Below are 16,926 nucleotides of genomic sequence, written 5' to 3'. Positions count from 1 at the left end.
CAGAATTTAAATTCTAAAGTAAACTAAGATTTGATCAAATTTCTGTTGGTACAATAATTAGGAAAAGACCCTAGACCATGGATAATTCATAAAAACACCATCCTGTTGGACCTGTTTGGGTGGACTCCCAATATTTCTGTGCTTCCTAAAAGCCCAAAAATGTTATTTGAAAAGAAAAAATGTGTGGGTCAGACTGACTACCAGTAACACAAAGTTCAAATTGTGCCTTCTAAGTAATATCTGTAGCATTTAGTAAATGTTTATTAGAATTATAGTATTCTAAATCTAGAAGTTTCACGTGTAAACAAATCTAGATATTCCTACACTTTAGTGTACATAGAAATCACCTGAGGTCCTTGTTTAAAATGAAGAGTCTCAGCTCCTATGCCTGTAGATTCTGGTTGAGTAGGTAAGGGGTGAGGCCCAGGAATCAGCATTTTAACATACTATGTAAGTTCTGATGTAAGCAATATTCAGATCCATTTTACAAAACACTGTGTTGATTTTAACACACATATTGCCCCACTACTCCATTTTATATTTTGCATACCTCACCCACAGAGGTTATGTGATTTTCCTATAATCATAGGAATCAATGGTAAAGCTGAATAACAGCCTAAGTTTCCTGACTTTTAGCTCCATGTCCTTGCCACATTGCGATACTCAATTTTACCATGTTGTAATTTTTATCATTTTACCATTAACAGTTTTTACCATTTTACCATTAACACTTTGTTACGAACCTCTCTTTTATAATTTCCCCCTCCTATGCATGGAGAAGAGAAAATCCTTGACTGTGCCTTCATTCAGATTCCTCCCTAAATTCCTGCTCACTCTGGGCAACAAGCCCATGGATCAATTGGCAATGTCAGATGAGGCTTACCCTACTTATTGATCTTCTAGGAGTTTCCATTTGATACTGACAATCATAAAGAACTGAGTTATATCCCTGTAAATTTAGTGGCAGGCACCCATCCATTATCTAAGGGAATTAATCCTAAAAGGCACTGGAGAGGGCTACCTGGGATAAAGGATGAGGTTCTTAGAAGCATTAAATATGGTGGTAGCAATTCAAAAAGCCAAGCAGCTCCCCACACTGCATTATATAGTCTGATCAAATGCCCTTCCTAACAATTTCCATTTTGTATCAAAGACTTTCCTCCTCAATGACATTTTACCATAGCCAGAAACAGCCAACATGACACCAGCTTCACACTGTAGTTACCGTTCTTAGCAACTTAATGGGATAGTCATCAAAATTGCAGTTTCTTCATGAAATACAGAATAGCTCATCCTGATATTGAACAAAGATGTTATCTACTGTGAAAGATATGCACAAGCAAGTTCCTTGCACTCAGAGTACTGATGTTCTAGTTGAGGAGATGAGAAGAGTATGCATAAAAAGTTAATTTTATAGGGTAAAAAGAAGAGAGGACAAAAACATTTACAAAACAATATTTTTATTTGATAATGAGTCATATTTATTCACTTAGTTGATAGTTAATAAGGCTAGAATGAAAGTCATCACCACAAAAGAATAAAGCCCATCAATAAATAAACTATGTAGATTGTATCAATGTCATTTTGATAATGTATTAAAGTAACATAAGATATGATCATGGGAACAGTTGAGTAAAGTGTACATGGGAATTCTCCATACTATTTGCAACATCTTATGGATCTAAAATTGTTTCAAAATAATTTATGTTTAAAAAGGGATGACATAAGAATGGGGAAGGGTGGAGCCAAGATGGCCGAATAGGAACAGCTCCAGTCTACAGCTCCCAGCCTGAGTGATGCAGAAGATGGGTGATTTCTGCATTTCCAACTGAGGTACCGGGTTCATCTCACTGGGGAGTGCCAGACAGTGGGTGCAAGACAGTGGGTACAGAGCACCATGTGTGAGCTGAAGCAGGGCGAGGCATTGCCTCACCCGGGAAGCACAAGGGGTCAGGGAATTCCCTTTCCTAGTCAAAGAAAGGGGTGACAGACGGCACCTGGAAAATCGGGTCACTCCCACCCTAATACCGCACTTTTCCAATGGGCTTAACAAACGGCACACCAGGAGATTATATCTCGCACCTGGGTCGGAGGGTCCTACGCCCATGGAGGCTTGCTCATTGCTAGCACAGCAGTCTGAGATCAAACTGCAAGGCGGCAGCAAGGCTGAGGGAGGGGCGCCCGCCATTGCTGAGGCTTGAGTAGGTAAACAAAGGCACCGGGAAGCTCGAACTAGGTGGAGCCCACCACAGCTCAAGGAGGCCTGCCTGCCTCTGTAGGCTCCACCTCTGGGGACAGGGCACAAACAAAAGGCAGCAGTAACCTCTGCAGACTTAAATGTCCCTGTCTGACAGCTTTGAAGAGAGTAGTGGTTCTCCCAGCACACAGCTTGAGATCTGAGAACGGGCAGACTGCCTCCTCAAGTGGGTCCCTGACCCCCGAGTAGCCTAACTGGGAGGCACCCCCAAGTAGGGGCGGACTGACACCTCACATGGCCGGGTACTCCTCTGAGACAAAACTTCCAGAGGAACGATCAGGCAGCAGCATTTGCGGTTCACCAATATCCACTGTTCTGCAGCCACCACTGCTGATACCCAGGCAAACAGGGTCTGGAGTGGACCTCCAGCAAACTCCAACAGACCTGCAGCTGAGGGTCCTGACTGTTAGAAGGAAAACTATCAAACAGAAAGGACATCCACACCAAAAACCCACCTGTATGTCACCATCACCAAAGACCAAAGGTAGATAAAACCACAAAGATGGGGAAAAAACCGAGCAGAAAAACCTGAAACTCTAAAGATCAGAGCGCCTCTCCTCCTCCAAAGGAATGCAGCTCCTCAATGGAACAAAGCTGGATGGAGAATGACTTTGACGAGTTGAGAGAAGAAGGCTTCAGAAGATCAAACTACTCCAAGCTAAAGGAGGAAGTTCGAACCCATGGCAAAGAAGTTAAAAACCTTGAAAAAAAATTAGACAAATGGCTAACTAGAATAACCAATACAGAGAAGTCCTTAAAGGACGTGATGGAGCTGAAAACCACGGCACGAGAACTACGTGATGAATGCACAAGCCTCAGTAGCTGATGCGATCAACTGGAAGAAAGGGTATCAGCGATGGAAGATGAAATGAATGAAATGAAGCGAGACGGGAAGTTTAGAGAAAAAAGAATAAAAAGAAACGAACAAAGCCTCCAAGAAATATGGGACTATAGAAAACACCAAATCTATGTCTGATTGGTGTACCTGAAAGTGACGGGGAGAAAGGAACCAAGTTGGAAAACACTCTGCAGTATATTATCCAGGAGAACTTCCCCAATCTAGCAAGGCAGGCCAACATTCAGATTCAGGAAATACAGAGAACGCCACAAAGATACTCCTCGAGAAGAGCAACTCCAAGACACATAATGGTCAAATTCACCAAAGTCGAAATGAAGGAAAAAATGTTAAGGGCAGCCAGAGACAAAGGTTGGGTTACCCATAAAGGGAAGCCCATCAGACTAACAGCACATCTCTCGGCAGAAACTCTGCAAGCCAGAAGAGAGTGGGGGCCAATATTCAACATTCTTAAAGAAAAGAATTTTCAACCCAGAATTTCATATCCAGCCAAACTAAGCTTCATAAATGAAGAAGAAATAAAATCCTTTACAGACAAGCAAATGCTGAGAGATTTTGTCACTACCAGGCCTGTCCTAAAAGAGCTCCTGAAGGAAGCACTAAATATGGAAAGGAATAACCGGTACCAGCCACTGCAAAAACATGCCAAATTGTAAAGACCATCGAGGCTAGGAAGAAACTGCATCAACTAACGAGCAAAATAACTGGCTAACATAATGACAGGATCAAATTCACACGTAACAATATTAACCTTAAATGTAAATGGGCTAAATGCTCCAATTAAAAGACACAGACTGGCAAATTGGATAAAGAGTCAAGACCCATCAGTGTGCTGTATTCAGGAAACACATCTCACGTGCAGAGACACACATAGGCTCAAAATAAAGGGATGGAGGAAGATCTACCAAGCAAATGGAAAACAAAAAAAGGCAGGGGTTGCAATCCTAGTCTCTGATAAAACAGACTTTAAACCAACAAAGATCAAAACAGACAAAGAAGGCCATTACATAATGGTAAAGGGATCAATTCAACAAGAAGAGCTAACTATACTAAATATATATGCACCCAATACAGGAGCACCCAGATTCACAAAGCAAGTTCTTAGAGACCTACAAAGAGACTTAGACTCCCACACAATAATAACGGGAGATTTTAACACCCCACTGTCAACATTAGATGGATCAACAAGACAGAAAGTTAACAAGGCTATCCAGGAATTGAACGCGGCTCTGCACCAAGTGGACCTAATAGACATCTACAGAACTCTCCACCCCAAATCAACAGAATATACATTCTTTTCAGCACCACACCACACCTATTCCAAAATTGACCACATAGTTGGAAGTAAAGCTCTCCTCAGCAAATGTAAAAGAACAGAAATTATAACAAACTGTCTGTCAGACCACAGTGCAATCAAACTAGAACTCAGGATTAAGAAACTCACTCAAAACCGCTCAACTACATGGAAACTGAACAACCCGTTCCTGAATGAATACTGGGTACATAATGAAATGAAGGCAGAAATAAAGATGTTCTTTGAAGCCAATAAGAACAAAGACACAACACACCAGAATCTCTGGGACACATTCAAAGCAGTGTGTAGAGGGAAATTTAGAGCACTAAATGCCCACAAGAGAAAGCAGGAAAGATCTAAAATGGACACCCTAACATCACAACTAAAAGAACTAGAGAAGCAAGAGCAAACACATTCAAAAGCCAGCAGAAGGCAAGAAATAACTAAGATCAGAGCAGAACTGAAGGAAACAGAGACACAAAAAACCCTTCAAAAAATCAATGAATCCAGGAGCTGGTTTTTTGAAAAGATCAACAAAATTGATAGACCACTAGCAAGACTAATAAAGAAGAAAAGAGAGAAGAATCAAATAGACACAATAAAAAATGAAAAGGGGACATCACCACTGATCCCACAGAAATACAAACTAGCATCAGAGAATACTATAAACACCTCTATGCAAATAAACTAGAAAATCTAGAAGAAATGGATAAATTCCTCGACACATACACTCTCCCAAGACTAAACCAGGAAGAAGTTGAATCCCTGAATAGACCAATAACAGGCTCTGAAATAGAGGCAATAATTAATAGCTTACCAACCAAAAAAAGTCCAGTACCAGATGGATTCACAGCCGAATTCTACCAGAGGTACAAGGAGGAGCTGGTACCATTCCTTCTGAAACTATTCCAATCAATAGAAAAAGAGGGAATCCTCCCTAACTCATTTTATGAGACCAGCATCATCCTGATACCAAAGCCTGGCAGAGACACAACAAAAAAAGAGAATTTTAGACCAATATCCCTGATGAACATCGATGCAAAAATCCTCAATAAAATACTGGCAAACCGAATCCAGCAGCACATCAGAAAGCTTATCCACCATGATCAAGTGGGCTTCATCCGTTGGATGCAAAGCTGGTTCAACATACGAAAATCAATAAACATAATCCAGCATATAAACAGAACCAGAGACAAAAACCACATGATTATCTCAATAGATGCAGAAAAGGCCTTTGACAAAATTCAACAACCCTTCGTGCTAAAAACTCTCAATAAATTAGGTATTGATGGGATGTATCTCAAAATAATAAGAGCTATCTATGACAAACGCACAGCCAATATCATACTGAATGGGCAAAAACTGGAAGCATTCCCTTTGAAAACTGGCACAAGACAGGGATGCCCTCTGTCACCACTCCTATTCAACATAGTGTTGGAAGTTCTGGCCAGGGCAATCAGGCAGGAGAAGGAAATAAAGGGTATTCAATTAGGAAAAGAGGAAGTCAAATTGTCCCTGTTTGCAGATGACATGATTGTATATCTAGAAAACCCCATCATCTCAGCCCAAAATCTCCTTAAGCTGGTAAGCAACTTCAACAAAGTCTCAGGATACAAAATCAATGTGCAAAAATCACAAGCATTCTTATACACCATTAACAGACAGAGAGTCAAATCATGAGTGAACTCCCATTCACAATTGCTTCTAAGAGAATAAAATACCTAGGAATCTAATGTACAAGGGATGTGAAGGACCTCTTCAAGAAGAACTACAAACCACTGCTCAATGAAATAAAAGAGGATACAAACAAATGGAAGAACATTCCATGCTCATGGGTAGGAAGAATCAATATCATGAAAATGGCCATACTGCCCAAGGTAATTTATAGATTCAATGCCAACCCCATCAAGCTACCAATGACTTTCTTCACAGAATTGGAAAAAACTACTTTAAAGTTCGTTCATATGGAACCAAAAAAGAGCCCGCATCGCCAAGTCAATCCTAAGCCAAAAGAACAAAGCTGGAGGCATCATGCTACCTGACTTCAAACTATACTACAAGGCTACAGTAATCAAAACAGCATGGTACTGGTACCAAAACAGAGATATAGACCATTGGAACAGAACAGAGCCTTCAGAAATAATGCCACATATCTACAACTATCTGATCTTTGACAAACCTAAGAAAAACAAGTAATGGGGAAAGGATTCCCTATTTAATAAATAGTGCTGGGAAAACTGGCTAGCCATATGTAGAAAGCTGAAACTGGATCCCTTCCTTATACCTTATACAAAAATTAATTCAAGATGGATTAAATACTTAAATGTTAGACCTAAAACCATAAAAACCGTAGAAGAAAACCTAGGCAATATCGTTCAGGACATAGGCATGGGCAAGGACTTCATGTCTAAAACACCAAAAGCAATGGCAACAAAGGCCAAAATTGACAAATGGGATTTAATTAAACTAAAGAGCTTCTGCACAGCAAAAGAAACTACCATCAGAGTGAACAGGCAACCTACAGAATGGGAGAAAATTTTTGGAACCTACTCATCTGACAAAGGGCTAATATCCAGAATCTATAATGAACTCAAACAAATTTACAAGAAAAAAACAAACAACCCCATCAAAAAGTGGGCAAAGGATATGAACAGACACTTCTCAAAAGAAGACATTTATGCAGCCAAAAAACACATGAAAAAATGCTCATCATCACTGGCCATCAGAGAAATGCAAATCAAAACCACAATGAGATACCATCTCACACCAGTTACAATGGCGATCATTAAAAAGTCAGGAAACAACAGGTGCTGGAGAGGATGTGGAGAAATAGGAACACTTTTACACTGTTGGTGGGACTGTAAACTAGTTCAACCATTGTGGAAGTCAGTGTGGCGATTCCTCAGGGATCTAGAACTAGAAATACCATTTGACCCAGCCATCCCATTACTGGGTGTATACCCAAAGGATTATAAATCATGCTGCTATAAGAACACATGCACACGTATGTTTATTGTGGCACTATTCACAATAGCAAAGACTTGGAACCAACCCAAATGTCCAACAATGATAGACTGGATGAAGAAAATGTGGCACATATACACCATGGAATACTATGCAGCCGTAAAAAATGATGAGTTCATGTCCTTTGTAGGGACATGGATGAAGCTGGAAACCATCATTCTCAGCAAACTATCGCAAGGACAAAAAACCAAACACTGCATGTTCTCACTCATAGGTGGGAATTGAACAATGAGAACACATGGACACAGAAAGGGGAACATCACACACCAGGGACTGTTGTGGGGTGCGGGGAGGGGAAGGGATAGCATTAGGAGATATACCTAATGCTAAATGACGACTTAATGGGTGCAGCACACCAACATGGCACATGTATACATATGTAACAAACCTGCACGTTGTGCACATGTACCCTAAAACTTAAAGTATAATAATAATAAAATTTAAAAAAAAAGAATGGGGAAAAATACAAGAATTTTAGTTCCTTCTCAGGCTTTATTTTCACAACATAAAATTTCCGTTCGTCTATAGAATGTCAATGAATAAAGGTCATTGCCAAGAATTAAATGCCAAACTAATTTGTAGTTTATGTGTCATAGTATCTAAAGAAAAATTGTCAGCTAGAAAAGTCCTCATTAATGTTTACCAACTATCCACTAAATATTTACTCAAAAATTACTACCATTGATGAGAGTTTCCTTAAAGTAAGGAAGTCAAAATAACAGGACATTCCAATATAAAACGACTGGCAAAACATTAAAAACATTTAAATATAGAGTTAAGCATAAGAAAATACAGTTAATATAATTATCAAACATAATCTAGTATTATAAATATTTCTTAAAAGAAAATAATGTAGACAGTATAACTTAACCACAACATGATAAATTTTAAATTGTACCAACAAAACTGCAAGAAGCAGTTAAACTGTGTTAATATTATTACCTTAAAAAGAGAGGAATCAATATCTATTGTTTTACTCTGGAAATTGAAATTTGTATCTTATAAGTTGTAGTAATATTTAATAAAGATTATAATTAGTAGAATTTAAAATAGAATGAAAATATTCCAAATAGAGGAAGTTATACTAAAAAACATAATTTATATAACACAATATATAAAATTAAGGAGGCAGTGATAGACGTATAGGGAAAAAAAACTAAGATAACACAATAAAACAAACATTAGTTTTAATAGCTACTATTTAACTAAATAGCCAAAAGTTTAACATTTTTAATAAAATGGCAAAACTGGCCAGGCACAGTGGCTCAGGCCTATAATCCCAACACTTTGGGAAGCTGACGCAGGATGACCACTTGAGCCCAGGAGTTCAAGAACAGCCTGGACAACATAGTGTGACCCTATCTGTATAAAATAATTGGAAAAAAATTAGTCAGGCATGGTGCCACGTGCCTGTAGTCCCAGTTACTTGGGAGGTTGAGGTGGGGGGATCAATTGAGTCCAGGAGATTGAGGCTGCAGTGAGCTGTGATTGTGTCACTGCATTCCAGCCTGGGTGACAGAGAAAGACCCTGTCTCAATAAATAAATAAATAAATAAATAGATAAAATGGAAAAACTATGAGAAAATTATCAAAAACAAATCTAAATATGCAGGGTCTAAAAAGAGATAAGTTAAAACCAAAGTGATGAGAAAACTTAAAAATAAAAGAATTAGCATAAATAAATTAGATAAAATCAAATAAAAACAAACTAGAAGTTGGTACACTGCTAGACAGAAAATCAGATTTCAAGATGAAGTGGGACTGAGAGACTTGTTATATTGCTGAGAGGTATAATGCTCCACAGATATATTAAATACCATATCCATAAATTTCCAGGAACATGATAATGCAGCATTGAATTGTATAAAGACAAATTGCTATAACAGTCAGAAGAAAAATTAATAGAAAAATAGAATAAAAGGAAGTTTTACACACCTCTTTCAGTCTTTGATGAACAAGTTAAAGGTGAATGAGGTTTTATAAAAAAATAATTTGAGAACTAAAGATAACAAGCACCTTCAAAAAGTATTGTTAGTGTTATGGGATCCTTGGGGTGTTGTTTCATCAGACAGAAATCTATGTGGCCAGTGGCACCTTTGCCAACATTTAGCTCTAGCCCACTGGGCTCATTCCTCCTACTCGGTCTGGCAGGCTGTGCTTGGCTTAGCTACCGACCTGGATCCCACACCTGCCAAGGACGAGCCAGGTGTGGAGCGGTGAGGGGTGTGTAAGCAAGCATGGGGTCCGGCCACAGGGCACAGCCAGGCATGCCAGCTGCGGTGGGGCAGGCAGCTCCAGGCACTGGCACAAGCGCCAGCTCCCTGAGAGGCTGCAGATGGACCAGGCCTACCATAAGCAGCTTCCATGGCTAACACCAGGGAACCGGGTGACACCCAGAAGCTTGGTGACACCAGGAACCTCAGACCCCTAAAGAGAGTGTCACAACCCTGGCTCAGGGAGTTCCTAGGTCTGGGCTCCCCGAAGAGCCACAGCTCTTCTCTACTCTCTCCTCTCCTTGTTGCCCACAATGTGGAGAACAAAGGGCATGTTTCAGCCCTGCCCTGTTTGCGTTACAGCTCTTTTAGCCCCGCCGTTCTGGTGGGTCCCTAGTTCTTGTCCTGCATCCAGAATGAGGTATGCAGACAAGTGGAGGGTGAGCAGGACGAAAAGGAGCTTTACTGAGTGATAGAACAGCTCAGAGGACACCTGCAGCCGCAGTGGGTAGCTCCTCTCCTTAGCCAGGGTGTTCCGATGAGCACTCAGCTCTCAGGAGAGACAGTAGCTCTTCACTAGAGCTGCTCATCAGGCCCTCCCTGGCTTTAAGGTGGGGCTTCACCACGGACCCTCCCCCTTCCACCCAAAAGCCTGTCTGCCTCCTGCCTCTATTCATGGCACCCAGGCAGGGGGGTCTTCCTGGACCCCTGAGAGTGCAAAGATGCCTCGGTCAGCAGCTGCGACAAGGCAACTGCAACTGCACCCAGGGAGCTCCCACCCGGCCAACTGAGAAGAGGTGGGGCTCCCGCTTGCCCCCGGTTCCCGCTGGCTCAGTGGAGTGTGTAGCCCTGGCCGTGCCTCCTCACAGCCTGGAGTGGGAGCTTCAGGTCCTCGCTGGGCCCGGGCCAGCCTCCGGAGCAGGGGTGACGTCACTGCAAGTTCTTCTTGTGGCCCCAGCACTCAGGGGCAGCCTGGGGCTCCCCCTTGCCTGGCTCATGGCCCTGACTGGAGGTCACTTCCGGGAGCAGATCGTGGGCCCTGGGCCTGGCCATTGGAAACGTCAGGCTCGGCGGTCACCTTGATGTGGAGCAGATCCTGAGGACGCAGCCTCAGGTGACTCGGAGCAGAGACTGTTCCCCAGGCGCAGGAACTTGGCGCCGTCGGCGGGTTGGGCGCGGTGGCCACGTTGCTGGCTGGGTCCTCGAAGCGGGCACTGCTCCCACTTCCCACCCCGGTCCCCTGAAGCGTGACCCCAGCTCTACATCTCGGGCCTGGCTCCCACGTTCCATGTGCAAGTGTGGCACCGCCCCAGACCCAGTTCCTCCTGGGGACCCTCTCTGCTTGCTCTTCCTTGCCCGACTGCACTGCTCTCCCTCCGGTGAGCGGCTGGGTCCGGCCCCATCAGGGCAGCTCCCGGGGGTGGGTTCCCAGGGCGGTGGACTCCGGGGGCGCTCCCTGGGGCAGGCTCTGGGGACTGCCTGCCTCAGCATCTGCATCTGAGGACCCACAGCCTGCGCCTGTACCCCACTGCAGCCGGAGCCATGGCAGCGGCCACTTCAGATGGGCTGCCGCTGGCATCATTAGGAAGTAATCTCAATAAATACCAAAACTGAAAATTCTCAAAAAGTTCTAACAATCATGTGGATTCCTTGAATTATTCCCTTGCTTTTAGGGTTCATGGTCTGGAGTTTCAGGAGTGAGCTTTCAAAAAGGGGCTCCTTTCCTTGCCCTGTGCAGGTAGTTCAGTGGTGATGTTTGTTCATACAGGTGATCCTGGTAGGGTGCGAGTGCTTTAAGGGAGAAGTATTTTCATTCTACTGAAGTTTAATGAATTCTGCCAGCTTAGAGAAGACATGTTTCCATACTACAGAGAGTAAAGTCCATTTAGTAATTTCATTGCTCTTTCATCAGAGTAAAGAGCAATGTTCACTATGGGAGGAGGCATAGAGTGAGGAGTGTAAAGAGAAATTCTGGTTTCAAGATGTCTTTCAATGTCTGGTGTGGTGGCTCACAACTGTAATCCCAGCACTTTGGGAGTCTGAGATGGGTGGATCACTTGAGGTCAGGAGTTCAAGACCAGCCTGGCCAACATGGTGAAACCCTGTCTCTACTGAAAATACAAAAATTAGCCTGACATGGTGGCACATGCCTGTAATCCCAGGTACTCAGGACACTGAAGCAGGAGAATTGCTTGAACCCGGGAAGCGGAGGTTGCAGTGAGCTGAGATCATGCCACTTCACTCCAGCCTGGGTGACAGAGTGAGACCCTGTCTCAAAAAAAAGAAAAAAAAAAAAAAGAAAAGAAAAGATGTCTTTCAATAACACATCTTTGTTTTATTTAAAAGTCTTGATATTCCTCACACATAATAAATAACTAAAAAGGTTAAAAAAAAAACCTCTCCAAAGTCAAACAAATTTATTTTTATCCACCATTTTGGTTTATCTTCATTAGTACTTTTATAATGATAAAATCAGGAGGTGACCAGAATCCAAATTTTTACCTTTGTAGAATTATTTCCAAAGGAAAAATATATAACTTCTTTTCAGATTTTGAAAACAAAGTGTGAATTTAATTTTTTAAAGGTTTATGGTTAAGTATGTCCTTGAGATAAGACTCAAGGAATAAAAGCATCTTCAGTCCAATGTAAAATTGTGCCACAAAACACTTCATGAAGTTCAGATTTTCAGAAAGGGATGAAGAATACTAGAAATCATAGATATATGACTGAATATAAAAATTCTTCTCTCTTAATTTCCTTAAAATACATATCTAAAGCAAAAATAAGAACATTGCATAGCAGGTTTTGTAATGTATGCAGATGTAATACATAAACGTATACTATGAGAGAACGGAGGATGGCAAGAGGACTTATATTGTTATAAGATTCTAAGATTTTACTGGAAAGTAGTAAAATATTAGCTCCAAGTTGACAACGAAAAGTTAATGAAATTTAATGTATCCCTAAATTGACCCCCAAAACGCAAAGAAGTATTGCTTAATAATTGAAGTATAAATTAAAATTAGAACCCTAATAACATTAAATGTATCCAAAAGTAGGCAAAAAAGGAGAAACAGGAATAAAAAATAGAATGGCCACAGAAAACAAATAGGAAAATGGTAGACACAAATTAACCCATATAAAAAAATACATTAGATCTAAATGGACTAAACACTCAATTAAAAGAGATTGCCAGAATGGATAAAAACGTAAGACTTGTATTTGCTGTCTACATGATACACACTTAAAATATAAAGGCACAAATAGATTGAGATCAAATGGATGAAAACATATATATCATGCAATCAATGTGCATAAAGCTGGATATCAGATAAAGTAGACTTTATGACAAAAAGTATTATTGGAGGTAAAGAAACCTTTTTATCTAAATGATAAAATCAGTTCATCCAGAAGATATAACAATAATAAATGTATATGCATCTAATAGTAGAACCCCAAAATATGTGATGCAAAAGTTGACAGAATTAAGGAAATATACAAATTTTCAATCATAGGTGGAGAATTTAATACCCCTTTTTTGACAATTGAGAGAATCAGGCAAAAATATTGGTAAGGATAGGTGTACCTTTAACAATCACTTTGACACAACCTTTTTTAGAATACTTTAACAACTACAGAATACACATTTTCTTCCAGAGTAAATGTTTTATTCACCAAAATAGACCAAATGTTGGGCCATAAAACCAGACTCAATAAATTTAAAAGAATTGAAAGAAAACCTTCAGCCAATCCCACAGAAGTCTAAGCTTCAGCAATAACTATAACACTGTCTGTATCAATCATGGTGAGGAGTTGCCATGAACCCCTTACATAGGAGAAAAGGAAAGAAGATGTGTCCCAATCCAGCTACTTGACAAAAATCTCTCCTACTCAAAGAAGAGGGACTAAAGTGGTCCAACTCTATTGCTACTATATTCTATGATATCCAGCTCAGGAAAGTACATAGTAGGTAAGTCATAAAGAGCTTTTCTTTCACTTCCCAGAAATGGTATTAAAAATAGTCTGTAAGGAGGAGAGAGGTGGAGCAAGATGACCAAATAGAACCCTCCAGCAATCATTCCCCCATGGGAACACAAATTTAACAGCTACTCACACAAGATAAGAACCAAAATCAGCTTGGGTACTAGCTTGGCCTCAATGGGGTAGAACACCAAGCAGGCTCTTGGGGTCTCTGATTCCAGGCCTCGGCTCCTGGACAGGATTACTGGACCTGCCTTGGGCCTGAGGAGAGTACACTGCCTTGACTGGCAGCATTAACCACAGACTGACTGAAGAGCCTTTGGGCTTTGAGTGAACATCAGTGGTAGCCAGGCAATGTTTGTCACAGGCCTGAAGTGGTGGTAGCCATGGAAAGAGACTCCTGTGCTTGAGGAAAGGTTGGGGGATGGGGAGAGTGGGAAGGACTTTGTCTTGTGGTTTGAGTGCCAGCTCAGCCACAGTAGAATAGAGCACCAAGTAGTTTCCTGAGGCTCCTAACTACAGGCCCTGGGTCCCAGATGGCACCTCTGGACCGACCTGGGGACAGGGGGATCTCATTGCCCTGAAAGGAAGGAAACAAGCCTGGCTAGATTTGCCACCTGCTAATTGTAGAGCTGTTGAGCCTTGAGTAGCATAGGTGGTAGCCACACAGTGGTCACCACAGGCCTTGGGAGAGAACCAGTGCTGTTCTGGCTGTAGTTCTGACCCAGCGCAGTCCCAGTGGTGGTGGCCACAAGGGTACTTGTGTCACCCCCTCCCTCGGCTAGCTCAGCACAGAGAGAGAGACAGAGAGAGAGAGGCACTCTGTTTGCTTGCAGGAAAATAATGGAAGAGAACAGTCTCTGCCTCATAATCCATGCAATTCTCCCAGATCTTACCTAAGATGCCAAGACAGTTCCTCTGTATGTCTAAAAGAGCCACAAGGTTACTGGACTTGGGGTGCCCCCTAAAGCAGATATGGCTGCAGTGACCAAAGACTTAGATTATAACACTCAAGTCCCTTCAGATATCTAGAAAGCCTTCTGAAGAACAGGTACAAACAAGCCTAGACAGTAAAGATTACAGTAAATACCCAACTCTTCAATGCCCAGACACTAATGAACATACCCAAGCATCAAGAACATCCAGAAAAATATGGCCTCGCCAAAATAAATAAATAAATAAATAAGGCACCAGTGACCAATCCCAGAGAGACAGAGATATGTCACCTTTCAGACAGAGAATTCAAAATAGCTATTTTGAGGAAGCACAACAAAAATTCAAGATAACACAGAGATAAAATTCAGAATCCTATCAAATAAATTTAACAAACAGATTGAAATAATTAAAAAGAATTAAGCAGAAATTCTGGAGCTGAAAAATGCAACTGACATATACTTAAGAATGAATCAGAGTCTCTTAACAGAATTAATCAAGCAGAAGAAAGAATGAGTGAGCTTGAAGACAGGCTATTTGAAAATACACAGTCAGAGGAGACAGAAGAAAAAAGAATAAAAATTAATGATGCATGCCCACAAGATCTAGAAAATAGCCCCTAAGGGAAAAATCTAAGAGCTATTAGCCTGAAAGATGAGGTAGAGAGAGGTCAGTGTAGAAAGTTTATTCAAAGAAATAATAACAGAGAACTTCCCAAACCTAGAGAAAGATATCAATGCTCAAGTACAAGAAGATTATAGAACACCAAGCAGATTAGACCCCAATAATACAACTTCAAGATATAATAATAAAATTCCCAAAGGTCAAGGATAAAGAAAGGATCCTAAAAGCAGCAAGAGAAAATAAACAAATAATATACAACAGAGCTTCAATTTGTCTGGCAGCAGCTTTCTCAGTAGAAACCTTATAGCCCAAAAAAGAGTGACATGACATATTTAAAGTGATGAAGGGAAAAACTTCTAGCCTAAAATAGCATATCTGGTGAAAATATCCTTCAAACATGAAGGAGAAATAGAGATTTTCCCAGACAAACAAAAACTGAGGGATTTCATCAACACCAGCCCTGACCTACAAGAAATGCTAAAAGGAGTTCTTCGATCTGAAAGAAAATAAGCAATAAGAAATTATGTTAAAGTACGAAACTCACTGGTATTAGTAAGTAAAATAGAATACTCTAACATTATACTGGTGTATAAACTACTTACATCTTGAGCAGAAAGATGAAAAGATGAACCTATCAAAATAACTATAACAACTTTTCAAGACAGTATAATAAGATATAAATAGAAAAAACAAAAAGTTATAGAGTTTTTATTAGTTTTCTCTTTGTTTGTTAGTTTATGCAATCAGTGTTGTCATCAGCTTAAAATAATGGTTTATAAAATATTATTTGCAAGCCTTGTGGTAACCTCAAATCAAAAAACATACAATAGATACACAAAAAATAAAAAGCAAAGAGTTAAAACATGTCACCAGAGAAAATCATCTTCACTAAAAGGAAGACAGAAAAGAAGAGGAGACCAGAAAACAAGTAACAAAATGGCAGAAGTAAGTCATTACGTATCAATAATAACACAATAATAACACAAATGAACTAAACTCTGCAATCAAAAGACATAGAGTGGCTGAATGAAGGAAAAAACAAGACCCAATGATATGTTGCCTACAAGAAGCAAACCACCTATAAAGACACACAGACTGAAAATAAATGGATGGAGAAAGATACTCCACAGAAACCGAAAAAGAGCAGAAGTAGCTCTACTTAGAAAAAATAGATTTCAAGACAAAAACTATAAAAAGAAAGGAAAAAGGTCACTATACAATGATAAAAAGGTCAATTCAGCAAGAGGATATAACAATTGTAAATATATATATATGCCCAATACTGGAGCACCCACATATATAAATAAAATATTATTAGAGCTAATGAGAGATATATACCCTAATACGACAATAGCTAGAGATTTCAACACCCTATTTTCAGCATTGGATAGATCTTCCAGACAGAAAATCAACAAAGAAATATCAGAATTACTCTGCACTATATACTAAATGGGCCTAATAGATAATTATAGAACATTTCATCCAATGGCTGCAGAATACACATTCTTCTCCTCAGCATGTGGATCATTCTCAAATATAGACCATATGTTAAAACATAAAACAAATCTTTAAAAATCCAAAAAAATGAAATTATATCAAGTATCTTCTCTGACCACAACGCAATAAAACTAGAAATCAATAACAAGAGGTATTTTGGAAACTATACAAACACATAGAAATTAAACAATATGCTCCTCAATTACCGGTGAGTCAAGAAAGAAATTAAAAGGGAAGTTGAAAAATG

At 40.3% G+C, this 16,926-nt stretch overlaps 1 protein-coding gene across 3 annotated transcripts in view, besides 1 other annotated feature; it reads right to left on the bottom strand.

Annotated features, from left to right (window-relative positions):
• Positions 1–16,926, bottom strand: part of ADGRG7 (adhesion G protein-coupled receptor G7) — an 85,879-nt gene that overhangs the window by 2,232 nt on the left and 66,721 nt on the right. The window lies entirely within an intron of this gene.
• Positions 10,551–10,810: an enhancer, noted in NCBI's record as "active region_20163". NCBI's record gives its function as "activates an Ori minimal core promoter by ATAC-STARR-seq in GM12878 lymphoblastoid cells {active_cell/tissue: GM12878}" and the evidence as "EXISTENCE:reporter gene assay evidence [ECO:0000049][PMID:35858748]".

Source organism: Homo sapiens, chromosome 3 (genome assembly GCF_000001405.40).
Source record: "Homo sapiens chromosome 3, GRCh38.p14 Primary Assembly".
NCBI classification, from domain to species: domain Eukaryota; kingdom Metazoa; phylum Chordata; class Mammalia; order Primates; family Hominidae; genus Homo; species Homo sapiens.
Note: the sequence above shows the minus strand (reverse complement) of the source record. Positions and strands in the feature narration are given on the sequence as shown.